Consider the following 26,430-nt stretch of genomic DNA (forward strand, 5'->3'; position numbering starts at 1 on the left):
GTTAGTTCCTCAGTGTAGGAGTTTCCTAGCTGCACAAATACTAAAATCCCAAACCCCGGCTCCACATGGTGCTGTGTTTTCAGCATAGAACTTTCCCAGCACCAGGCCAATGGGACCACCCCATGTTTTCCCTCACTGAACTGATGGGCAGGGTGATTCTGGATTCTGAGTTTTCACTGGATACGTTATTCTCTGAGCTTCCCGTCTTTGTTTGGGGGTCTGATTTCCACTCCCTTCTTGAGGGGACCCAGGCCCTGTCTCCTCTGCCCCCGCCACTAAACACATGCCCTGTTGCCAGGACTGGCTTCTCTCCCCACACTGCGGCAGTATCAGCTTGGGCTTAAGGCTTCATATCTAACTTTCCTCCTTAATTCTAGCCCCTGAAGATTTCCCTTGCTTTCCTATGACCTTAGCTGTGGCTTAAAAAAATTGCTATGTTATGCAGCATACTTACATGCTTTATTGCAGGAAGTGTTTGAAGTGAGTCTGGCACCAGGTTTAAAACCAGTTTCTGCTGAGAAATTTGAAGATCTGGCAATATGACGTCTGTCTTTCAGCAGGACTAAAATTGGCTAGTGTCAGGGGGCATGTACTCTCTGTTCAGTCTCTAACTCATCACCTGTAATATTATTTTGACTCCTGTGTAGGCATTTATGATTCAGCATAATATATTCCACCTTTTACCCTTTTCCACAAAATGGACCCTAACAGCATCCAGTTCATATCCCAGTTCTGTACCACAAGCCTTTGCTACTGATATAGGAGAATGGCAGCCATGAGGCACCATTGGTCTTTAAAATATATATATATATATATATATATATATATATATATATATATATATGCAGTGGTTCCAAGATGGCCGAATAGGAACAGCTCCAGTCAACAGCTCCCAGCGTGAGCGATGAAGAAGATGGGTGATTTCTGCATTTCCAACTGAGGTACTGGGTTCAACTCACTGGGGATCATCGGACAGTGGGGGCAGGACAGTGGGTACAGCCCACTGAGTGTGAGCCAAAGCAGGGCGAGGCATTGCCTCGCCCGGGAAGCACAGGGGGTCAGGGAATTCCCTTTCCTAGCCAAAGGAAGAGGTGATAGACAGCACCTGGAAAATCAGGTCCCTCCCACCCTAATACTGCACTTTTCCAAGGGTCTTAGCAAACGGCACACCAAGAGATTATATCTCGTGCCTGGCTCCGAGGGTCCCACGCCCACGGAGCCTCGCTCATTGCTAGCACAGTAGTCTGAGATCAAACTGCAAGGCAGCAGCGAGGCTGGGGGAGGGGCGCCTGCCATTGCTGAGGCTTGAGTAGGTAAACAAAGCTGGGAAGCTCAAATTGGGTGGAGCTCAAAGAGGCCTACCTGCCTCTGTAGACTCCACCTCCGGGGGCAGGGCATAGTCGAACAAAAGGCAGCAGAAATCTCTGCAGACTTAAATGTGTCTGTCTGACAGCTTTGAAGAAAGTAGTGGTTCTCCCAGCACGGAGTTTGAGATCTGAGAACAGACAGACTGCCTCCTCAAGTGGGCCCCTGACCCCCGAGTAGCCTAACTGGGAGGCAAACCATAGTAGGGGCAGACTGACAACTCACATGGCCGGGTACCCCTCTGAGATGAAGCTTCCAGAGGAACAATCAGGAAGCAACATTTGCTGTTCTGCAATATTTGCTGTTCTGCAGCCTCCGCTGGTGATAACCAGGCAAACAGGGTCTGGAGTGGACCTCCAGCAAACTCCAACAGACCTGCAGCTAAGGGTCCTGACTGTTAGAAGGAAAACTAATAAACAGAAAGGACTTCCACACCAAAACCCCATCTGTATATCACCATCATCAAAGAACAAAGGTAGATAAAACCACAAAGATGGGTAAAAAACAGAGCAGAAAAACTGAACATTTTAAAAATCGAGCACCTCTCCCCCTTCAAAGGAACGCAGCTCCTCGCCAGCAATGGAAAAAAGCTGGATGGAGAATGACTTTGACAAGCTGAGAGAAGAAGGCTTCAGACGATCAAACTTCTCCAAGCTAAATGAGGAAGGTCGAACCCAATGCGAAGAAGCTAAAAACCTTGAAAAAAGCTTAGCTGAATGGCTAACTAGAATAACCAGTGTAGAGAAGCCCTTAAATGACCTGATGGAGCTGAAAACCATGGCACGAGAACTATGTGACAAATGCACAAGCTTCAGTAGCCGATTCGATCAACTGGAAGGAAGGGTATCAGTGATTGAAGATCAAATGAATGAAATGAAGCGAGAAGAGAAGTTTAGAGGAAAAAAAGTAAAAAGAAACAAACAAAGCCTCCAAGAAATATGGGACTATGTGAAAAGACCAAATCTACGTCTTATTGGTGTACCTGAAAGTGACGGGGAGAATGGAACCAAGTTGGAAAACACTCTGCAGGATATTATCCAGGATAACTTCCCCAACCTAGCAAGGCAGGCCAACATTGAAATTCAGGAAATACAGAGAGTGCCACAAAGATACTCCTCAAAAAGAGCAACTCCAAGACATGTAATTGTCAGATTCACCAAAGTTGAAATGAAGGAAAAAATGTTAAGGGCAGCCAGAGAGAAAGGTCGGGTTACCCACAAAGGGAAACCCATCAGACTAACACGGATCTCTCGGCAGAAACTCCACAAGCCAGAACAGAGTGGGGGCCAATATTCAACATTCTTTAAGAAAAGAATTTTCAACCCAGAATTTCATATCCAGCCAAACTAAGCTTCATAAGTGAAGGAGAAATAAAATCCTTTACAGAGAAGCAAATGCTGAGAGATTTTGTCACCACCAGGCCTGCCTTACAAGAGTTCCTGAAGGAAGCACTAAATATGGAAAGGAACACCCGGTACTAGCCACTGCAAAAACATGCCAAATTGTAAAGACCATTGATGCTAGGAAGAAACTGCATCAACTAACGAGCAAAATAACCAGCTAACATCATAAAGACAGGATCAAATTCACACATAACAATATTAACCTTAAATGTAAATGGACTAATTGCTCCAATTAAAAGACATAAACTGGCAAATTGGATAAAGGGTCAAGCCTCGTCAGTGTGCTGTATTCAGGAGACCCATCTCATGTGCAGAGATAAACATAGGCTCAAAGTAAAGGGATGAAGGAAGATCCACCAAGCAAATGGAAAACAAAAAAAGGCAGGGGTTGCAATCCTAGTCTCTGATAAAACAGACTTTAAACCAATGAAAATCAAAAGAGACAAAGAAGGCCATTACATAATGGTAAAGGGATCAATTCAACAAGAAGAGCTAACTATCTTAAATATATATGCACCCAATACAGGAGCACCCAGATTCATAAAGCAAGTCCTCAGAGACCTACAAAGAGACTTAGACTCCCATGCATTAATAATGGGAGACTTTAACACTCCACTGTCAACATTAGACAGATCAGTGAGACAGAAAGTTAACAAGGATATCCAGGAATTGAACTCAGCTCTGCACCAAGTGGACCTAATAGACATCTACAGAACTCTCCACCCCAAATCAACAGAATACACATTCTTCTCAACACCGCACCGCACTTATTCCAAAATTGACCACATAGTTGGAAGTAAAACACTCCTCAGCAAATGTAAAAGAACAGAAATTATAACAAACTGTCTCTCAGACCACAGTGCAACCAAACTAGAACTCAGGATTAAGAAACTCACTCAAAACAGCTCAACTACATGGAAACTGAATAACCTGCTCCTGAATGACTACTGGGTACATAACGAAATGAAGGCAGAAATAAAGATGTTCTTTGAAACCAATGAGAACAAAGACACAACATACCAGAATCTCTGGGACACATTTAAAACAGTGTGTAGAGGGAAATTTATAGCACTAAATGCCCACAAGAGAAAGCAGGAAAGATCTAAAATTGACACCCTAACATCACAAATAAAAGAACTAGAGAAGCAAGAGCAAACACATTCAAAAGCTAGCAGAAGGCAAGAAATAACTAAGATCAGAGAAGAACTGAAGGAGATAGAGACACAAAAAACCCTTCAGAAAATCAATGAATCCAGGAGCTGGTTTTTTGAAAAGATCAAAAGAAAGCATATTCAATTAGGAAAAGAGGAAGTCAAATTGTCCCTGTTTGCAGATGACATGATGGTATATTTAGAAAACCACATCATCTCAGCCCAAAATCTCCTTAAGCTGATGAGCAACTTCAGCAAAGTCTCAGGATACAAAATCAATGTGCAAAAATCACAAGCATTCTTATACACCAATAACAGACAAACAGAGAGCCAAATCATGAGTGAACTCCCATTCACAATTGCTTCAAAGAGAATAAAATACCTAGGAATCCAACTTACAAGGGATGTGAAGGACCTCTTCAAGGAGAACTACAAACCACTGCTCAATGAAATAAAAGAGGATACAAACAAATGGAAGAACATTCCATGCTCATGGATAGGAAGAATCAATATTGTGAAAATGGCCATAGTGCCCAAGGTAATTTATAGATTCAATGCCATCCCCATCAAGCTAACAATGACTTTTTTCACAGAATTGGAAAAAACTACTTTAAACTTCATATGGAACCAAAACAGAGCCCGCATTGCCAAGACAATCCTAAGCCAAAAGAACAAAGCTGGAGGCATCACGCTACCTGACTTCAAACTATACTACAAGGCTACAGTAACCAAAACAGCATGGTACTGGTACCAAAACAGAGATACAGACCAATGGAACAGAACAGAGCCCTCAGAAATAATACCACACATCTACAACCATCTGATCTTTGACAAACCTGACAAAAACAAGAAATGGGGAAAGGATTCCCTATTTAATAACTGGTGCTGGGAAAACTGGCTAGCCATATGTAGACAGCTGAAACTGGATCCCTTCCTTACACCTTATACAAAAATTAATTCAAGAGGGATTAAAATGCTAGACCGAAAACCATAAAAAGCCTAGAAGAAAACCTAGGCAATACCATTCAGGACATAGGCATGGGTAAGGACTTCATGTCTAAAACACCAAAAGCAATGGCAACAAAAGCCAAAATTGACAAATGGAATCTAATTAAATTAAAGTGCTTCTGCACAGCAAAAGAAACTACCATCAGAGTGAACAGGCAACCTACAGAATGGGAGAAAATTTTTGCAATCTACTCATCTGACAAAGGGCTAATATCCAGAACTCAAACAAATTTACGAGAAAAAAACAACCCTATCAACAAGTGGGTGAAGGATATGAACAGACACTTGTCAAAAGAAGACATTTATGCAGCCAACAGACACATGAAAAACTGCTCATCATCACTGGCCATCAGAGAAATACAAATCAAAACCACAATGAGATACCATATCACACTAGTTAGAATGGTGATCATTAAAAAGTCAGGAAACAACAGGTGCTGGAGAGGATGTGGAGAAATAGGAACACTTTTACACTGTTGGTTGGACTGTAAACTAGTTCAACCATTGTAGAAGACAGTATGGCGATTCCTCAAGGATCTAGAACTAGAAATACCATTTGACCCAGCCATCTCATTACTGGGTATGTACCCAAAGGATTATAAACACATGCACATGTATGTTTATTGCAGCACTAGTCACAATAGCAAAGATTTGGAACCATCCCAAATGTCCATCAATGATAGACTGGATTAAGAAAATGTGGCCCATATACACTAGGGAATGATATGCAGCCATAGAAAAGGATTAGTTCATGTCCTTTGTAGGGACATGGATGAAGCTGGAAACCATCATTCTCAGCAAACTATCGCAAGAACAAAAAACCAAACACCGCATGTTCTCAATCATAGGTGGGAATTGAACAATGAGAACACTTGGACACAGGAAGGGGAACATCACACACTGGGGCCTGGTTTTGGGTGGGGGAAGCAGGGAGGGAAAGCATTAGGAGATACACCTAATGTAAATGACGAGTTAATGGGTTCAGCACACCAACATGGCACATGTGTACATATGTAACAAACCTGCACATTGTGCACATGTACCCTAGAACTTAAAGTATAATAAAAAAAAAAATAAATAAATAAATATATATATATGCCGGGTGTGGTGGCTCACGCCTGTAATCCCAGCACTTTGGGAGGCCGAGGCGGGCAGATCACAAGGTCAGGAGATCGAGACCATCCTGGCTAACACGGTGAAACCCCATCTCTACTAAAAATACAACAAAAAAATTAGCTGGGCATGTTTGCAGGCTCCTGTAGTCCCAGCTACTCTGAAGGCTGAGGCAGGAGAATGGTGTGAACCTGGGAGGCGGAGCTTGCAGTGAGCCGAGATCGCGCCACTGCACTCCAGCCTGGGTGACAGAGTGAGACTCTGTGTCAAAAAAAAAAAGTATATATATATATATACACATATATATATACACACATATATATGTGTATATGTATATATATATACACATATATATGTGTATATATATGTGTATGTATATATATTATATATGTGTATGTGTGTGTGTGTGTATATATATATATACATACACACATTTTTTTTGAAAAAATATTTTTTATATATATATATATTTTGAGAGGGAGTCTGGCTCTGTCACCCAGGCTGGAGTGCAGTGGCACGATCTCGGCTCACTGCAAGCTCCACCTCCTAGGTTCACACCTTTCTCCTGCCTCAGTCTCCCAAGTAGCTGGGACAACAGGCGCCCGCCAACACACCCGGCTAATTTTTTGTATTTTTAGTAGAGATGGGGCTTCTCCGTGTTAGCCAGTATGGGTCTTGATCTCTTGATCTCGTGATCCACCTGCCTCAGCTTCCCAAAGTGCTGTTTTTTAGGACTTTGAGGCTCACTTTCATTGAAGCCCACTAGCCAAAGACCAATAGAAACACACTTATAGTCAAATGAAATTGGTTGAATTTAGCTGCTGCAGCAAGAAAATGGACTACATGGAATATTGGGAACATCTTCAGTAGGAGGAGAAGGTTCTTCAAGGATGGGGGCCTGTGCTAAATAATATTCTCGGGAGCAAGCAGGGGAGTGGCCGGCTCTGGACTGGTACTAGGGAGAAGCATCGACACCTAGCAATGGGGACTCTTTGCAGTCTCTACAGGCAGTGGAGGAGCTGTCAGGGCTGGGACTGCCACTGTGAGAAAGGGCATGGCTCAGAAGCAGGGATCGAGGGCAGCTTTGTAGCTGCAGGAGGGTTCTGCTGTGGAAACACGGTATATGGGCATTATCCTTGTCCCGTTGGCAACACTGTCACCAGCAGGGCTAAATTGCACTTTTTGTCTGGGGGTTCAGCTAATCTTTCAGAAAAGTATTTTTGTACAAGAGAAATTCCTTGTTTCAAAACAAAGCTCACTTCTTGTGACGCTCTGGGCAGAAGGTGCTGGGAGCAGCTTCCTGGGTGGCCCTGCTCGTGTCCCAGCCTCTGGCTTCCTGCTAGTATTGATTCACAAGGGCCCTAAGGCCATCACAGAGGACGTATCTCCATATTCACCACTTGAGCATACCTCCCAGCTCCATGTTTCACTCGTGAAACCATGGTCTTCAAAACATAAAATAATTTACCAAGAGAAACCAGTTTCTGTCTGTTGGCATCCTGGTGACAACAACGAGGACCATCACCACCTGTCTTCTGGCAACCACAGACACACCCCGAGGAAGCAGGGTGCTCCAGCAGGGTCTCTGGAGTGAGTACCCTCTTCCAATTTGGGTTTCTTGACCTTGCTAGGGCGGCGCAGCCCATTACTAGCTGGCAGAGAATAACTCAAGAGCAAATGGCCCCAGGAATAAACTTGAGATATTAACATGGAAATGCTGGATTGAAATGTGACTCATTTTCTCATCAGTCAGCACGCTGATTAACTAATTTCAGCTACTGATATTTTTTATGTTTCCCAGACTGAGCTGTTGCTCTGTTTCTCATCCACAGGTCCAGGAGGCAGTGTGAGAGTTTATGATGTTAATTAATTACAAGATGGACCACGATACTGTCCGTGAAATTGTGTAGTCATTTCTGAACCTTTTGTAATAAAGAAACTGTGCTTCCATATTGAAGAAGCACTTAGTTATAGGAAAAATGTGAGAAATAGTCACTTTTTGTTTTTATGCTTTTGGTTTATTTCAGCAAATCTGAGGTTTAGTAAAAACCAATGGCACAGGAAAAAGCAAGTCACTCCACCATTTTGTTTTTGTGGGTACTTAAGATCTCATGTTGCACCCTAAGGATTTTTAAATAGATCATTTATGATGTGAATGATGAGCTGGCCATGTTGTCACTTCTGGGTTCACTTCTGTGAACTTGGGAAGGTTAGAAGCATAGTATTCTTCAAGTTTCTTTTTTACCCTCTTCCACAAAATGGATCCTGGCAACAGCCAATCCACATCCCAGTTCTCTACCACGTGCCTTTATTATTGATACAGAGAATGGCAGCCATGTGGCTCCTTTGATCTTTTGGTAAAGTTGTATTACTCATGCAACCCTCAGTGCATAGTGGATTTTTCTCTTTCTCTTTCTCCCTCCTTCTCCTTCTCCCTCTCTCTCTCTCCCTTAGACAGACAGACAGACACACGCACGCACGCGCACATGCACACACACACACACACACCCCACCACCACCGCCATCACGAAAAACACAGAATGTCATCACTGTAGATTAAACTCATTTAGTAACTAACCCATGCTAAGGAATTTTCTGAGTAGTGTTGCAGTCTGTGGCTCTTTCTCTCTTAGTTTATTTTCTATTTAATAGTGCATTTCTCCAATTCTAGGATGTACATTCCTTTCTTTTCATTTGTTCCTATTTCTGAAATTCTGAAACAGTGATGCACCTCGCAGTCAGTGGCTTCTGACCCTTGATGGAGTCCGACGGGGCTTTTCCCTGAGCATGCTTTTATGTATATAGGTAAATCTAAATGAATACTGACTGAATAAAGAAAAAACACTAACAAAATATTGTGGTGCTTATATATGTTTAATATATAATTTTATATGTTTTTATATCTTACATAATAGTATATGTATATTATATATAATTTAAAATAAAGCCAACAATAGTACTACAGTACTAAATTTGTAGATTGTAATCAGAATTAATATGTTTGAGGTTCTTATATTTTCCAGAAAGTGTAGAACTAACTTACATCAAATTCCAGTAAGTTCAGGCCAGGTGCGGTGGCTCACGCCTATAATCCCAGGACTTTGGGAGGCTGAGGCAGGCGGATCACAACCTCAAGAGTTTGGGTCAGCCTGGGAAACATGGAGAAACCCTGTCTCTACTAAAAATACAAAAATTAGCTTGGTGTTGTGGTGTGCGCCTGTAATCCCAGCTGCTCAGGAGGCTGAGGCAGGAGAATCACTTGAACCAGGGAGCCAGAGGTTGCAGTGAGCTGAGATCATGCCAGTGTACTCCAGCCTGCGTAACAAGAGAGAAACTCTGTCTCAAAAAAAAAAAAAAATTACAGTAAGTTCAAAGGTACTATACTTGTGTATACTTGCACCTAACAATGTTGGCTTGTACACCAACATTGTTACTTCTTATTTTTTTGAGAAAAGTCCTTTTTTATTGTAGTAAATACATATAAAATATACCATTTTATTCCTTTTTAAATGTACAATTCAATGGCATTAAATCCATGCACATTGCTGTGCAGCCATCACCACCGTCCATCTGCAGAACTTACCACCATCCTAAACCAAGACCTTGTCCCCATTAAGCAGTAACTCTCCGTTCCCTCCCTTCTGCAGCCTCTGCAGCTGTGTTCTGTCTGTGAGTGTGACTATTCTAGGTACCTCATATAAGTGGAATCATACAGTATTTGACCTTTTGTGACTGGCGTATTTCACTTAGCATGTTGTCTTCAAGGGTCATCCATGCTGTAACACTGAGGAAAATTTGCTTCATTTTGAAGGCTGACTAATAATTCAGGGTAGCATATGCCATATTTTGCGTATTCATTCCTCTGTCAATGGGCGTTTTCATTGTTCCCACCTTCTGACTACTTCTGCATCATGATGCTATGCACTTCAGTGTCCCCAAATCTGTGTTGGAGTCACTGCTTTCAATTTTTTTTAAGAGACAGGGCCTTACTCTGTTGCCCAGGCTGGAGTACAGTGACACAATCACACCTGCTTTCCATTTTGGGGAGTGTATACTCAGCAGTGAAATGGCTGCTGTATGGTAACTCAGTGTTGAATCTTTGAGGACCCACCGTCTTGTCTTCCACCGTGGCCACTCCATTTGACATTTTCACTGGCAACGCACAGGGTTCCAGTTTCTCTACAATAATATGAATTTTAAAGGCTATTTTCATATGGTTATTCTGCTAGTATAATAAAGGCATATTTAAAATTTAAGTAGTACCTCGCCACACACAGTGGCTCACACGTGTAATCCTAGCACTTTGGGAGACCGAGGAGGGTGGATCCCCTGAGGTCAGGAGTTCGAGACCAGCCTGGCCAACAGGACAAAACCCCGTCTCTACTAAAAATACAAAAAAATTAGCTGGGTGTGGTGGTGCATGGTTGTAATCCCAGCTACTCGGGAGGCTGACGCAGGAGAATCGCTTGAACCCAGGAGGCAGAGGTTGTAGTGAGCCAAGATTGCGCCACTGCACTCCAGCATGGGTGAAAAAGAAAGACTCCCTCTCAAAAAAAAAAAAAAAATTAAGTAATACCCCGAAATAGTAATGAAAGTTACAAACCTTTCCCCTTGGCCCCTAACATATCACTTCATTTGCCCAGACACTTCTCAGAGGCAGCTCCTGCCCACCTTCCTCTTTTGACTGTTATTGCCATACCCTGACAGCTGTGTTCATCCTGTTCTATCTTTTTTTCTTTTTAGAGATGGAGTCTTGCTCTGTTTTCTAGGCTAGAGTGCAGTGGCATGATCATAGCTCACTGCAGCCTCAAACCCCTGGGCTCAAGTGATCCTCCAGCATCAGCCTCAGCTTCCTGCCTTAGTCTCCCACCTGTAGCTAGGACTATAGGTGCATATGCCTGGCCAGCTTTAAAAATTTTTTGTAGAGATGGGGTCTCATTGTGTTGCACAGGCTGGTCTCCAACTCCTAGCTCCAAGCGATCCTCCCACCTTTGCCTCCCAGTGTGCTGGGATTATAGGCATGAGCCCATGTACCTGGCCGCATCAAGTTATTTCTTGATCCGTTAGCTTTAAATTCTACCAGTGGACTCCCTGCTTTGAAAGGGTAGAGATTAGTTCACTTAAGGTTAGAATTTAGTTCACTTACACTACTGCCTATCTCCTCCCCACTTCTCCCAACTTCTTAGGGATGTATTATTTTGAGTCCTTCCCTTGGTTACTGTTGTATTCATTTCACTCTGTGGGATGAGGCTGTGGTTGGCATGCTTACCCACACTGTTTCTCTCTTCCCCATTGGCCTTCTGTATTAGTCCGTTTTGTGTTGCTGTAAGGGAATACCAGAGACTGGGGCATTTGTAAAGAAAAGAGGCTTATTTGGCTCGTGGTTCTGTAGGCTGTACAAGCATGGTGCCAGCATCTACTTGGCTTCTGGGGAAGCTTCAGGAAGCTTTTAATCATGGCAGAAGGGGAAGTGGCAGCCAACATGTCACCTGGTGAGAGGGAGCAAGAGAGAGATGTCAGGGTCTTTTAAACAAGCAGCTCGCATGTAAACTAACACAGCAAGAACTTACTCCTTGCCACAAGGATGGCACCAAGCCCTTCATGAGGAATTCACCCCCATGACCCACACACCTCCTGTTAGGCCTGCCTTCAACACTGGTGATCACATTTCAATATGAGATTTGGAGGGGACACACAAGCAAACTGTGTCACTTTCCTATTGAGGTTGGCTGTGTCTTCAATTGTACATGAGAATGAGTGAGTCCAGCTTACTGGCTATGAGTCAGACCCTGAAGTCAGGCTTCCTGGCTGTGAAATCCAGCTCTGCAGCTTATAGGCGAAAGACCTTAAACAGGTTGCTTCAGTTTTTGATGCCTCAGTTTCCACATCTGCAAAAGGGATGATAATAACTATACCTACTTAATGGGGTTGTTATAAAAATTAAACAGGATAGTCCTTATTAAAAGTTTAGCACGATGCTTGGGATTTAGGAGAAGCTGAACTCTTGGTCAAACTGATGATGATGACCACAACAACAATGATGTCAACTTGGTCAGGGTGAGGCACCTTTAAATTTTGGTTTTCAGTTACGTTGGGTTTATATGTAGATTCTAAATGTTAAATTACTAAACATTTATTGTCAAGATTCTGTAAATGTTATGGCTATAAACCCAAGTTTTGGTAATAAGTTAATATTGCCTCTGTATTCAGCTCCTGAATCATAACCCCTGTGCCAGATAAAGGAAAATATAGTGTCCAGGTCAAACGGATTCTGTCTTTTTAAATTCCACAGCTGTGTAAAATGACGGGAAATTTTGTTTTGCTTTATATTTGGACCGATGGAGTTCCTATACACCTATTCTGGCTGTGTGTGTTTTTCTGGAGTTTCTAAATGACATTCTTTTCACATTGAGGAAAGAAACCTGTGCCTTCCTCACAGCATCCATCTTAACTTCCAGCTGTGCATGCGCGCTGCCGTTCTTGCTCACAAAGATGGTCTTTGTGAAGCCCACGGGTGTTTGTTATAAATGGGACAGATTGCTGCTGGCCAGCTGCCATGCAGAGATTGCTTTTTATTCATTTAAGCTATTCACTGCTTTCCCCTTATCCTCTATTATCCACATCCATGGTTTTCACTGCCATTTGTTTCTGGAGTAAATCTCTAAGTTACTTATTCAGACAGGCTGCTGTGAGCTACATCTTCTGACTCTTGAAAATATTTATTGTCATCCTTGTTTTGTTTCCTTTTTTGTTTTTACTCATCCTTGGAGGAGTGCTTGGTAGAGTACATACTTTAAAGGTTTTTCTCGCAACTTCGAAGGCGCTGACCCATTGCCTGTCCATGTGCATGGTTTTGATGAAAGGTCCTCTGCCAGCCCATGTTCCTGTGTCCTCTTGGCCATCTGCGGGCTCCAAACATAAATTCCTGGCTGCAGCTTCTGTCCACACTCCTTCTTCTCGCCTTTGGTTAGATTCCTCATCTACTGTTACGCTTTAAAATTATTTATCTTGTTGGCCGGCCAGGGTGGCTCACGCCAGTAATCCCAGCACTTTGGGAGGCCGAGGCGGGTGGATCACGAGGTCAGGAGATTGAGACCATCCTGGCTAACAAGGCGAAACCCCGTCTCTACTAAAAATACAAAACATTAGCTGGGCGTGGTGGCGGGCGCCTGTAGTCCCAGCTACCCCGGGAGGCTGAGGCAGGAGAACGGCGTGAACCCGGGAGGCGGAGCTTACAGTGAGCTGAGATCGCGCCACTGCACTCCAGCCTGGGCGACAGAGCGAGACTCTGTCTCAAAAAAAAAAAAAAAATTTATCTTGTTAAGGATGATTTTTTCCATTTTCTCTTCCATTAAGATTCTTTTTGCTCTTTCACTAACATTTTAACGGGGTCTTGGAGAGAGGGGAAGAGTGATGTGAGTCCACTTCTTCATCTAGCCTAGAAGCAGGCTCCCTGGCTCTCTCTTTACACAGCCTCATCAGAGAGTTGTCTTTGCAGGGAAGAGACTTGGCCTTGTGGATCCTCTGTGTGGTATCTTTGCTTTCTGTTTCACTAGCTTCTGCTCTTACCTTATTAACACCTGTCATGTATTATTTGCCTTTATTATTATTATTTTGGTGAATTTATTAATTTAGATGGGGCTCATTAATTTTTAACCTTTTAAAAATAATATATGCATTTAAGGCTACATATTTCCCTCTTCTCCTGCATCTCTAGGTTTCAATAATTTAGTTTCTCAATGATCCTGACCTAAGTATTTTTATATTTTGTTATGATTCCTTTTTGATCAAATGGTTATTAAGAAAGCATTTCTTTTCCTTCGTTTCTAAATGAACGTGGTTTTTATTAATTGTATCAACTTTTATATGATTTGCATTGTGGCTAAAGAAAATGATCTGTAAGATACTAATGTTTTATACATACTTCTTCTTCTTCTTTTTTTTTTTTTTTTTTTTTTTGAGACAGAGTCTTACTCTGTGGCCCAAGCTGGAGTACAGTGGCACGATCTTGGCTCACTGCAACCTCCACCTCCTGGGTTCAAGCAATTCTCCACCTCCCGAGTAGCTGGAATTACAGGCACACACCACCATGCCTGGCTGATTTTTTATTTTTAGTAGAGACGGGGTTTCACGATGTGGGCCAGGCTGGTCTCGAACTCCTGACCTCAGGTGATCCACCTGCCTCGGCCTCCCAAAGTGCTGGGATTACAGGCGTGAGCCACCATGCCCAGCATACTTCATGGCCTAATACTTGATCAATTTTTGAAAGGAAGAAAGAGAGAGAAGAATGGAGAGAGAGTGAGAGAGACAGAGAATGAGAGAGAAAGAGAACACGTATGCCTAGAAGAATTTGTATTCTCTGTTGGATGCCAAGTTTTATATGTGCATTTTTGATCAAAATTATTATTCAAATATTCTATGTTTTTCTTAATTTTGGCCTGTTTATTTCTCAGCATAATTGAGAGCATACTTTGCAGTCTCCTGTTGTGATGGTGAAAATATTACATTATCCCCATAATTCTATAAATTTTGCTTTATATAATGTGATATAAATGGATTATGTACATGGAATTTGAGAATTGTTGTATACGGTTAATTGGATCTCTCTCTGTGTAACTATGTTACTATATAATAATACTTTCTACTCCTTAATATCTGTTTTGTATTCATTACACTGTGCCAGATTTCTTATTTGTTGCCTAGGATTTTCCTTGTATATATGTTTTCCATCCTTTTACTTTTAGCGATTCCATGTCCGTATGCTTTAGGTCTATCTCTTATAAATAACATATGTCTGGATATTATTTTAAATCCAAACTAACAATTTATTTTAATTGACAATTTAAATTAATTTGTACCTATTGTGAATACTGATATGTTTGGATCTGCTATTATCCTAGTTTTCTATTTAGAATTTGGCCAACTTTTTTTTTATGTTTCATTTTTTTCTTACCTCTTTTTATTTGATTGAGGTTTTACTACTATTTTCATTCTTACTCATGTACTTCTCTCCCCTGGTTTAGAATGATTAGAAATGTTTCCATTCATTTGGTAGTTATCCTTGACATTTGCCTATGTATATTTAAGTATAAAGCTGAACATGTTCACACACTTCTGGAACATTAAAAGAATCTTAGCTCACCTCCTGATTTACATGCTATTGTTTTCCTGTGTTTAGAGTTTTAAGAATAAATCTAATGATTTACATTTATATATATAGAGAGAGAGATATAGATATAGATATATAGATAGATATATAATCAATGTTTGTTTGGATTTATAAGTATGTCGTGAGTTTGTGTGCTCATAAGTCCTTGTATCTCAGGTCATCACCCAGCATTATTTTTCTTCTTCCTAAAGTGCATCCTTTAGAATTCCTTTTAGTTTAAGTCTCTAAGTAGATTTTTTATTTATTTGCAAATGGATTTTTCACTTGGCTCTTGAAAGATAATTTCATTATGTCCAGTTCAAGGTTGAGAGTTAATATCTCTCAATATATTGAAGATATTATCCTCTGTCCTTTTGCTTCCATTATTGCTTGATATGTGTCTTGCCATTCTAGTTTTTGTTGCTATGTAGATTATCCACTATTTTCCTTTGACTGCTTTTAAGACCTTTCCACTTAATCTTCAGCAGTTTCATGTAATGTGTCAATGTGGTATTTCCTGGATCAGTGAATTTGTGTTTCTCATCAGTGCTGAACATTTCACAGGTAGCGTCCTTTGAGGTGCGGCTTCTCTCCCAGGAGTTCTGTCTCCATTTCTGAGACTCCCATTAGAAGAGACTGATCTTTCTCATTCTACCTGCCAGGCTCTTTGCTGCTTATTGCTGTCTCCTATCTTTTTTTCTATTCGTGAGGCATTTGGGGTATTTTTCTCAGATCTGTCTTCTGGATTACATTTTTTTTCTTAGCTGTGTCTATTCTGCTGTTTAGATTCCATATCTTCCGTTGTGTTTTTTACTCCAACAAAAATATTTTTTGCTTTTTGAAATTCACACGTTTCATTTTTCTATTTATTCTGGTAGTCACTTGTCACTTGCTCCTTCTTGTGTTTTATTTATGTAAGTATTTCATGAACAATTGTTCTATACTTTCTTCTCACTATAAAAATATGTAAAGTCCTTGATGGTCCAGAGTTGTTCTTTTCTTCTCTTCTCTTTTCTTTTTTTTTCCTTTCTTTTCTTTTCTTTCCTTCCTTCTTTCTCTATAGACTCTCACTTATGGTGGCATACAGTCTTTTGTGCATGATGATCTTTCTCAGCTCATTATTTGACCTTACTCTGTGGCTAAATTGGGGAGGGGGTCTTTCTCTTAGAGATGTTTGTTTCTATTCTGCCTGTAATGAGGAGTCGTCACTGAATTGGCTCTATTGCAATCGACAGAACAGTGGTTCTCAGAGTGTGGTCCCTGGATCAGCTGCAGCAGCGTCACCTATGAGCTTCTTAGAAATGGAAACTTGGGTATCCCTTTCCACCCTGAGTAAGGAACTCTGTAGCCTGGCAACCTGGGGCTTAACATGCCCTTCAGGTGATTCAAATGCATGCTTAAATCTGAGACCACATCCGTAAAGAATCTTAGCTTAGAATAAGGTTCAGCCTCAACTTCTCTATCTTGTCTTTCTACAAGGCTATATAACTTACTATTACTGTTACTGTTGATGCCTAAATCAGTGCAGCTCTGCCCCTTCAAGTAATCTTCCATGGAAGAGTGGTGATATTTGGAGATTTTCCTTCGCAATCAGTAATGTCTCAAAGTGTGTTCTAATCCTGAATCTAATTTTGTAACAAGAGAATCTCTCAGAGCATCTAGTCAATTCTAATGCTAGAAATAACAGTTTGTCCATTGACTTTTAATTTCACTGATGTATTTTTATTTCTAAAAGTCCTAAATCTTTCATTTGTAAAGTATCCTAAGTATGGTTGTTTTATAATCTTCATCTGAAAGTGTTAATACCTACATTCACTGTGGGCCAGATTTGTGATATTTCTGCTCACCCTTGCTTATTTCTTCCTGTGTTTAGTGCTTGTCTTAGTTTGCTTCTGCTGTTACAACAAAATACCACACAGTGTAATTTATCAATAATAGAAATTTATTTCACACAGTTCTGAAGGCCGGGAAGTCCAACATTGAAGTGCTGGCAGATTCAGTGTCTGATAAGGACTCACTCTCTTCTTCTAAGATAGCACCTTATTACGTGTCCTCTGGAGGGGATGAACACTGTGTGCTCACATGGCAGAAGCTCAAGAAGGGGCTAACTCTCCCCCTCAAGCCCTTTTGTACAGGCACTAATCCTATGGGCGAGGGCTTAATCACCTCCAAGGGCTCCACCTCTTAATGCCATCACCTCAGGAATTTAGTTCCCACATATTAATTGCAAAGGAATATATGCATCCAAACCATTAGCAGTGCTCATTTCCCTCCCTTGAATCCCAAACTCAGGTTGTTTTCTGAGACTATCCATGGGCATTTTCTAGTCCTGTCTTTAACATACATTATCCTAGAGGACATTTGCATTTGCTTCTGCCAAGAATCACAGTGGTGGATTCCCAGCCCCAAACACTACAAACTAAGTGTTCAACTGTGTTTTTCAAGGCACATTAAGAGTGTGAAATCTCAGAGAGAGTGTGAGTGCAGGCTTGTGGTTAGAAATTCTCAGAGATGAAGCCCCTCTGGCCCTCCTCCAAAGGAAAAAAAAACAGTTTTACCCAAAATAATTTTAGAGGTGAGAATGCGTTCAAGGCTTTCTCTTTCTGTCCTTCAGTGGGTGGGGAGGAAGACGTCTTGGCTGAGTCTGTGTCCACATTCACAATCTTATCAGTTAAATCTTTGGTCACATGGGAGCCTCTGCATCTCTAAACCATGGACTGTGTGTGTGGGAGGACATCACTGTTGATGGTAATGATGACAATGGTACTGGTGACATTACTTGTACCAACAGTGATGTTATTGTTAGTAGTAGTAGTGGTGGTGATGTAATGGTGGTTGTGGATTTCTGGTAGTGATGGTGGTGGTGGTGGTGGTGGTATGGAAGGGATGATGGCTAGGAATCAGTAAAATTTTTCTGTAAAGAGTCAGATAATATTTTAGGCTTCATGGACAATATGGTCTCTGTCACAACTGCTCAACTCTTCCCTTGTCATGAAGAAGAAGCCATAGACATATGTGCATGAATGGTTGTGGGTGTAGTCCAATAAAACTTTATTTATGGACACTGACATTTGAATTTCACATAATTTTTGTGTGTCATAGAATATTCCTATTTTCTTCAACTACTTAAAAATGTGAAAACCATTCTTAGCTTGTGGGCTGTACAAACGCAGGTGTTAGATGTATTTGTTCTGTGGCCTTGATTTTCCAAATCCTGGCAGTAGTGTCAGCAGTGGGGATGATGGTGGTAATGGTGATGGTACTCCTATTGACAGTTTCAGTGGTGGGGACGGTGATAGTGGTACTCCTGCTGATGGTGTCAGTGGTGGGGATGGTGACGGTGGTACTCCTTCTGACAGTGTCAGTGGTGGGGATGATGGTGGTGATGGTGGTGAGGGTGATGGTAGTACTCCTGGTGATGGTATCAATGGTGGGGATAATGATGGTGATGGTGTCAGTGTTGGGAATAATGATGGTGATGGTGGTGGTGATGGTGTCAGTGGTGGGGATAATGATGGTGATGGTCGTGGTGATGGTGGTAATGGTGAGGGTGGTGGAGTTGGTAATGGTGGACATGGCAGTGTCACAGGGGAAGAAGCTTCCTCCCTCCACATTATCCTTAAAAATGAAGTGGAGACTTACAAAGCTAAAGGGAGTTGGCACAACTTTTAAAAGCAGCAATGGTCTGAATCTGCAGGTTTTCTTGTTTCCAAAATCACATCATATCTGCTATATATGTCTGACTGCTTATAAATCAGATTTGGAGTTCCTGTGGATTGTGACCCAGTGGTGCTGTGCTATGACAAAGCATCACTCACCAGCAGAAGTTTGGGTTGGCTTTGTGAACAGGAAGTCCCAGGCCACCAAAAATGATACATAGGATGATGTAGCATTTTGCAATTGTAATGTGCCATTTAAATGCTAAATAGTAATAACTGATCTGGTCCCAAATGTTTCATTAACTCTCTCCACTGCCAAATCACAGGCTTTTCTGTGTGTGCTAAAGGCAAATTTTAATTGTTTTAATGAGGGTTTGCAAGCAGCTCTTTTCTCTATACACTTGGGCCTTGGTGAATTACACGTATCATTCGCTTAGCAGTAGGGAAGTTTTACTATTTACACAAAAGGCTTCTAACAGTGTTAGGGTTTGGGAAAGACCCAGCACCTGGTGCCCTCCTAATGCCTTGACAAATTGAGCTGTATAAGAAGGGTCAGGAGCAGCCATACCTGTCAAACATGCCAAACACTCTGGCTAAATGAAACTGCAATTAGTTTTGTGGGGGGTTTTGTTTGTTTGTTTTTTGGGTTTTTTGTTTTTTTTTTTTTCGGAGACGGAGTCTTGTTCTGTCGCCCAGGCTGGAGAGCAGTGGTGCAATCTCTGCTCACTGCAACTTCTGCCTCCTGAGTTCAAGCGATTCTCCTGCCTCAGGCTCCTGAGTAGCTGGGACTACAGGCGCATGCCACCAAGCCCAGCTAATTTTTTTGTATTTTAGTAGAGACAGGGTTTCACCATGTTGACCAGGCTGGTCTTGAACTCCTGAGCTCAGGCAGTCTGCCTGCCTCAGCCTCCCAAAGTGCTAGGATTACAGGTGTGAGCCACCGTGCCTGGCCTGCAATTAGTTTTATTTTCTCCTTCAGTTGCATAGGTAGCTGACTTCATTCTGTTTCTACTTGGAGAGGCTGCTACAGAGATGGTCTTATATGTTAAATATGACTGATACTGCACAATATAATCGGCATTCGAGTTTTCTAATTAGCCACACAGGGATGGACATGGAATACTATGTTGTGAAGTTCCTTCCACTCTATACAGTAACAAATCATAAACCAACAGTGCAGATCTTTAAGTCATTCTGTGAAAGGAGTAGGTATGTTTAAGAAAGGGAGATGAGTGGGTGGTAGGGTGGGCGAGACATAGACTTTTAAAAAAAATCTAGACTTATTCGTAGGTTCAGAAAAAAAGGAAAACTAGTAAGAGAAAGTTCTGATTCTCCAGTTTTTCTGTATTTCTTTATTCATGCATTTGTTTGAAAATAATTGCACTTGCAATCCTGGTTCCCAAAACATTCACTGGATTTTTTCTAGCCAATTCCTCAGAGCAAAACCATCTATTAAACATTAGAGACAATTTTGAAAAAAAAAATGCTACCTGTAATGAGTAATCAAAATTTCTTCATGGATAGGACCATGTATAACTCTGTCACTTTTACAATGCATAATTCCCCCTGGAGCAGGCTGGCCTTCTTCACAGAAGGTGTGTGCTATGTGTGCTACGTGCAGGTGGAGCATGAAATTGCTCAGATCCCATTTCTGGTGGGGAAGATGGCTTCTGCGTGTGCTGGTTTATTCTGCTGGGACACTCGGCATGCAAAAGCATCTGCTGTATTTAGGGGACTGAGTTTTTCTATCTCACAGTGAGTAAGCAGGCCCAGCCTGCAGCATTTTCTTCCATTGGTGGGTAACAGAGGCTGCCTCCAGCAGGATTTGTCTGGTCCATCTAATGCCTCTGCTTCCTGAACATCTACTATGTTGTCACTTTGTGTTCCAGGCCATACACAAAATGCCATTCCCTCACCCCAGAGGTACTCTACCACTGAGGGCTTTGTTTTTAAGGTAGTTTTATTCTCACTATATACCTGCCAGAAAAAGAACACACTGTCTTATCAACCATTCAGCCAAAGAGCTGTAATCATAATTAGCCCCGTATTACACAAGAGCTAAAGGATAGCAACCACCATTTCCCCCCACAATGAAAGCACAGTGAAGGTAAACACAGTGCAGTGCTTCCGTACCATGGAATATGAGCCCGCCATGAGAAGAAATGACCTCAAACACATCATGCCAAGTGAAAGAAGGCAGTCATGAGAGGCCACATAGTGTATGATTCCAGTTATATGAAATGTCCAGAATAGGCAAATCCATAGAGACAGAAAGTAGATCAGTGTTTGCCAGGGGCTGGGGAAAGGAACCACATCATGGGCATGGGGTGACAGGAATGTTCTGGAATCAGATAGTGATGAGGGTTGCACTGCACAACTTGGTGAATATACTAAATCTCACTCAATTATACATCCTTAAATTTGGATGAATTTCATGGCATGCAAATGATATTTCAGTAAAGCAATTATTTTAAAAAATGAATGAAAATACTAATTAAAGTTAAAGAAAGCAACAGAGTTGGGATCTTCCTGCACTCCCAGCCTTTCAGCCGTGAGCATCCATGCATGGCCCCACAGCCTGAGCTGTTTCGCCAGCTTTCCAACAGAGACCTGGGGTCTTCTGCTCCATGAGGACTGTAAGACTTGGAGTCAGAAACTCCTGGGCTCAATCTCCACCTATTTCTCTTCGTATCTTTTCTATCTGCATTTAGATCAACAACTGTTAGGATTTAGGACCTTGTGGAATCCAAAAGACATCACCAGGGCACATCCTGGAGGTTGCTGGAGCAGTCATTTTCTTGGAAAGGGGTTGGGGGGTCTGAGTCTTCCTTCTCCTGGGTCTCAGAAGCCAGGAAAGCTAACTGTTCCCCAGCACGTGGGAGAGAATCCGTCTTTTAGGGGCAGGATTAGATTACTCCGCCTTCTGAGACTGCTCTGGAGGACCAGAATGCCATTGAGCACTGAGGAGTCATTCTCCTAGGAACTGAGGACACCGAGACATGCTCTCCCTGCAATCAGGCAGCTTATACGCTTGCAGAAAGAATTAACTGTCCTGGCCTTTTTCTAATTTTTGTTGTAAGACGTGTTTGTCCACGTAGGCACATTACCTTCCTCCTTGCAGGCTGGGAGGCCTTCCAGCTCTTTCTGGTGGTTTCTGCTTGGACCTGTGAAGGCAGATATTTACCCCCTTCTCCAGTTCTGACCACAGAAACAAACTGCAGTCGTCTAATAATATTTACAGAGCTGTGGGTTTACAGACATACAAGTTGGCCTGCTTAGTTTTCTTGTCCATACAGAAGTTGTGATAACACCTCGCAGGCTTGTTGACAATAGTCTGATGCCTTGGGTTTGTCCCCAAGAAACAAGCCTGGGGATGAGAATTTGGGAGAGGAGGGGATCCCGGGAAGCACCACCGAGGACCAAGGAGGGAAGGCCATAGACAAATGCTGTGTTGTACAGCAAGTTGATCTCTGGGGGGCGCTGGGGAAGTGTCAAACACCAGCCTCCGAGCTGTCCCACCCCAGGACAAAGGTGCTGGGTGCTGATCCATCAGCTTCTCACTGTCACTGGCTGAGGCTGCACCAGGTGCCATAGCCCCTTTGGCCTGGCCTGACCTGTATGTGAGCCGTGATAGCACCATCAATCCCTGGGATGATGGGAGCCAGGGCACGGAGTAGGGCACCCACGGATTCAGCCCCTGTGTTAGTCCATTTTGCATGGCTATAAAGGTATTCACCTAAGCCTGGATGGTTTATTTTTAAAGGAAGTTTGTTTGGGCTTACGGTTCTGCAGGCTGTACAGGCACGGCACTGGCATCTGCTCAGCTTCTGGTGAGGCCTCAGGAGGTTTTTATTCATGGAAGAAGGTGAAGGGAAGCAGGCACATCACATGACAAAGGGGGAGCAAGAGAAAGAGGAGGGGGTCCCAGTCTCTTTTCAACAACCAGCTCTTACGAGAGCTTATTACCCTAGGGAGGGCACCTCGTTCCCGGCCCCACCTCCAACACTAGGGATCACATTTCAACCTGAGATTTGGAACCCACAAACATCTAAACTGTAACAGCCCCTGGTTGATGTGACTTTGTCATCATCCCTTTCCCTAATCCGAGGGCCTAAGCTAGAAGCAGGGGGCCCCCTCCTCACAGCCTCCACCCCTCCCCTCCATCTGGGGCACTCAGGGAAGCCCCAGGAGCCTGTAGATCCCACCTGGACTCCTGAGGTTGTCAGCACAAGCTCCGGGGCTCCTGCCTGGCCAGGCCTGTGCCCTCCCTCTCTTCTTTTCTGAACCTCTGCACAGGTCCCTCTGCTGGCCTTTGCCTCAGGGCCCAGTGTGCTGGGCAGGGATTTCCCCCAGCCGGAACAGTGCCCCTCGGTCTGGCCCTGGCTAACTCCTCACCCCGTTCAGGGCTTGCCGTCAGCGGGTCTTCACAGGAGATTGTGCCCTGTGTTTCTTCCTTCAAGGCAGCTTTGTCTCGCCCACTGGTTACACGTTGGCGCTCATTCAAAAAATTGTCTTTCTCCTGTGCTGCGTGCAGGGTCCCTGCTGGTGGTCACCTAGGTCCCCAGCTACACCCCCGCACTCAACACACTACACACTGCCTGCACACGGTAGGTACCCATTAAGTGCCTGTCAGGTGGATGCATGGAAGTACCTGCCACATGCTCGTGGTGTGGTAGGGGCTGGACACGGTGCGGCTTCCTTTATTCCCTGGGTTTGAGGGAGGGAGTTCTGTTTTGAAACTTTTATTGGTGACATTGCATTAGGACTTGCGGCCACCTCTGCTCTGAAGAGCTGGCTTTTGCCCAGCTGGAGTATTATTTTGTCACCAACCACTGGATGGTTTTCACTTGCATTGAGAGATGATTGTCACTTGGTGTGGGGTGTGGTGTTTGCTGGTTTAGGTTTAGGAAGCTTCCAACATGCAGAGCCATAAGAAAACAGTGACTCTTTACCTGTTATGATCTTGGTTTCAGTAGGCCATTACCTTGAGTTAAGACAGGGATGAGATGGGAACCATTGCCAGTTCTGAAGCAGCACCATAGTTGTTTGCCGATGTTTTCTGCTGGCTTGTGTGTAGACACCTCCTGGTGAGAGCATAGGAGTAGCTCTTCATGTCAAAGGGAAGATGTGGGAAATTGCTTGATGAAGATCCAAACCTCATCACTAAATGTACAGCAGTGTGCTTTCTTCCTAAGTACTACTGAATTTCTGGCTAGAATAGTTCCTTCCCAAATGGAAGGTTTATTTACAAATCAAGAAAAGCTACTAGCGTTCAATAACTTAATCCAAGATAGACGGGCTTTTAAATTACACATGTCTCTAGGTGTCAACCTTAATCATAAACAGAGAGAAGCTCTCTAAAAGAAAAGATGTTTATCTGGGCATAAAGCTTTGCAATGGGAACACACATGCCATAGTAAACTGTGTGCACATTCAGGGAGGTAAAAGAAGACAAAGGTTTTTCATGAAAAAAAAAGGGTGAAGATTGCACAATTGTTTTGAAATAATTATCCTTGGCTATAAAGATTAATAACAAGGGTGACACCACTCTGAGTCTGGACGGGCAGTTGCTGGGCAGATGATCTCGCAGAAGTGTTTTTTGTGTAAAATGCTGTGGGTTTTGTAGTCTTGTTATTAAGCATACAAGCATGAGACCCCTCTCTTCATGGCCTCCCCTGGCTCTATTTGTCAGGGTTTTCTTAACGTTACTGACTCCATTTTGATTCTGACAACTTTCACTGGGGTACTGACTTAAACAAGTAATTTTTCCTCATTGATGGAGAGTTCATCTGTTTTCATCAGTGAAGTTCTTGACACACATGTTTGAGGATTCATTTGCGGCTGCTATTGGCAAAACATCACTCAGTTATTCATCAAGTGCTAATGGAACAGATGAATTGTACAGGATGCATCATCAGAACTGCAAGGATGGTTGAGATCATGGCTGTGATGGGAGAGCCTGCAGTGCAGCCGCGATGACTTGTCCCCAGCAGAACCAGAGGGGCGTGGCCATGCTGTCATCCAGGCCTGAGCTGGGCAGCCTGGGAGCCCAGATGACCAACTCTGCTCCAGAAAGAGGTGATATCTGAGTGTGGCCACGGGTGAAATTACCGGGGAGCCACATTCCCGTGGGTGTCAGCGCACTCAAAGGCCAATTCAGAATGGACATTTGTCTCCAGAGGCAGGGAGGAGTTGGGCATCCTGAGTCTTGCTGTGTTCCTCAAACACTCTCCAAGCAAGAAAGGCCCCACTGAATATGTCATTGCCACCCCATTCAGGAGACCCGGCTGCCTGGATCAGCTCCTTCAAGGCACTAAGAAGCGCTGTCTGTCTGTCTGGGAGCTCTCCCTGGGCATATTGGAGATAGCCTCAGGCCCCATAGCCACCTCTGTGTTAGAAACCGGGTGTGCCCTTCCTAAATATCCTCCGGGTTACGCCTGCTTACTCAGGTGAGCCAAGCTGAACAGCCTTCCACACACAGCCTGGAGAAGTGTCTGTACCTGAGAGGGACAAGTGAGAGCCCCAGCGCACTTTCATTCATCACTCCTACTGCCAGCATGGTCTCAGGCCCCCCATGTCTCGCAGGGAGGACCCTGTGATCTGAGCTGCTGAATGTGGAATCCTCCAGCTGTGGGATGAGGCTACACATTTTGCCTCTTCATGACCCATTTTTCAAATAAAATACATAAAGCAGGGAACCATCACTGGGGCTCTGTTGGGTCCTGGACCCCAAAGTTTCCTGGAGGGCATCACACCCTTCTTACTGCCCAAAAGCACTTTGAGCAGTAGAGGACCACCGCATCTGTCAGTTGTCCACACCACCAGGGCTTATTGTGCTTCTCCTTGTACCCATTCCTCATGCTGTTCACACATCCATCTGCCTGAACTGCCTCTATGATGATCACATCCCACTTAAGCCTTTCTTCCACATGCCTATTGCTTACTATGAGCCTCTAAATGAGACCCGCCCCTCCTAACTTTATCTCTCCAGCCTCCTCCTCTGCTTCCTAAACACTACCTATGCTGTTCCCTCTGCCTGGAACATCTCCCCTGCACAGCTTAACCTGTTGATTTTTTCAAACCTCTCTATTACAGAAAATTTCAAACACACATGAAAGGAGAGAGGATTCTATAATGAATCACATGCACCCATCAACCAACTTTGGTGGTCAGCCCACAGCCAGTCTTCTTTTCTCAGTATGGTATACACTCCTCCTTCAGTGGTCAGTCCACAGCCAGTCTTGTTTTCTCAGTATGGTATACAGCACACCTTCATTCATCACTCCTGCTGCCAGTCTTGTTTTCTCTGTATGGTATACACTCCTCCCTCAGTGGTCAGTCCACAGCCAGTCTTGTTTTCCCTGTATGGTATACAGCACACCTTCATTCATAACTCCTGCTGCCAGTCTTGTTTTCTCGGTATGGTATACACTCCTCCTTCAGTGATCAGAGATGGTCAGAGATGACCACAGGTAATGGCTGTCAGATGGGGCTCCAGATGGCACTGCTGGTGGGTTCATCGGGGATCCCTGCTGTCCCACATCCCATGAGACAGAGAGGTCATTGGCAAGATGAAAGAGGGA

The 26,430-nt window shown here is 43.2% G+C and overlaps 1 protein-coding gene across 23 annotated transcripts in view, besides 2 other annotated features; it reads left to right on the forward strand.

Annotated features, from left to right (window-relative positions):
• Window positions 1-26,430, forward strand: part of SYNDIG1 (synapse differentiation inducing 1) — a 196,988-nt gene that overhangs the window by 41,682 nt on the left and 128,876 nt on the right. The window lies entirely within an intron of this gene.
• Window positions 687-1,188: an enhancer, noted in NCBI's record as "H3K4me1 hESC enhancer chr20:24492633-24493134 (GRCh37/hg19 assembly coordinates)". NCBI's record gives its function as "activates a minimal SCP1, AML or CMV promoter by ChIP-STARR-seq in naive H9 embryonic stem cells {active_cell/tissue: H9 hESC(naive)}" and the evidence as "EXISTENCE:reporter gene assay evidence [ECO:0000049][PMID:30033119]".
• Window positions 1,189-1,688: an enhancer, noted in NCBI's record as "H3K4me1 hESC enhancer chr20:24493135-24493634 (GRCh37/hg19 assembly coordinates)". NCBI's record gives its function as "activates a minimal SCP1, AML or CMV promoter by ChIP-STARR-seq in naive H9 embryonic stem cells {active_cell/tissue: H9 hESC(naive)}" and the evidence as "EXISTENCE:reporter gene assay evidence [ECO:0000049][PMID:30033119]".

The sequence above is a fragment of the Homo sapiens genome, chromosome 20 (genome assembly GCF_000001405.40).
Source record: "Homo sapiens chromosome 20, GRCh38.p14 Primary Assembly".
Classification (NCBI taxonomy): Eukaryota; Metazoa; Chordata; class Mammalia; order Primates; family Hominidae; genus Homo; species Homo sapiens.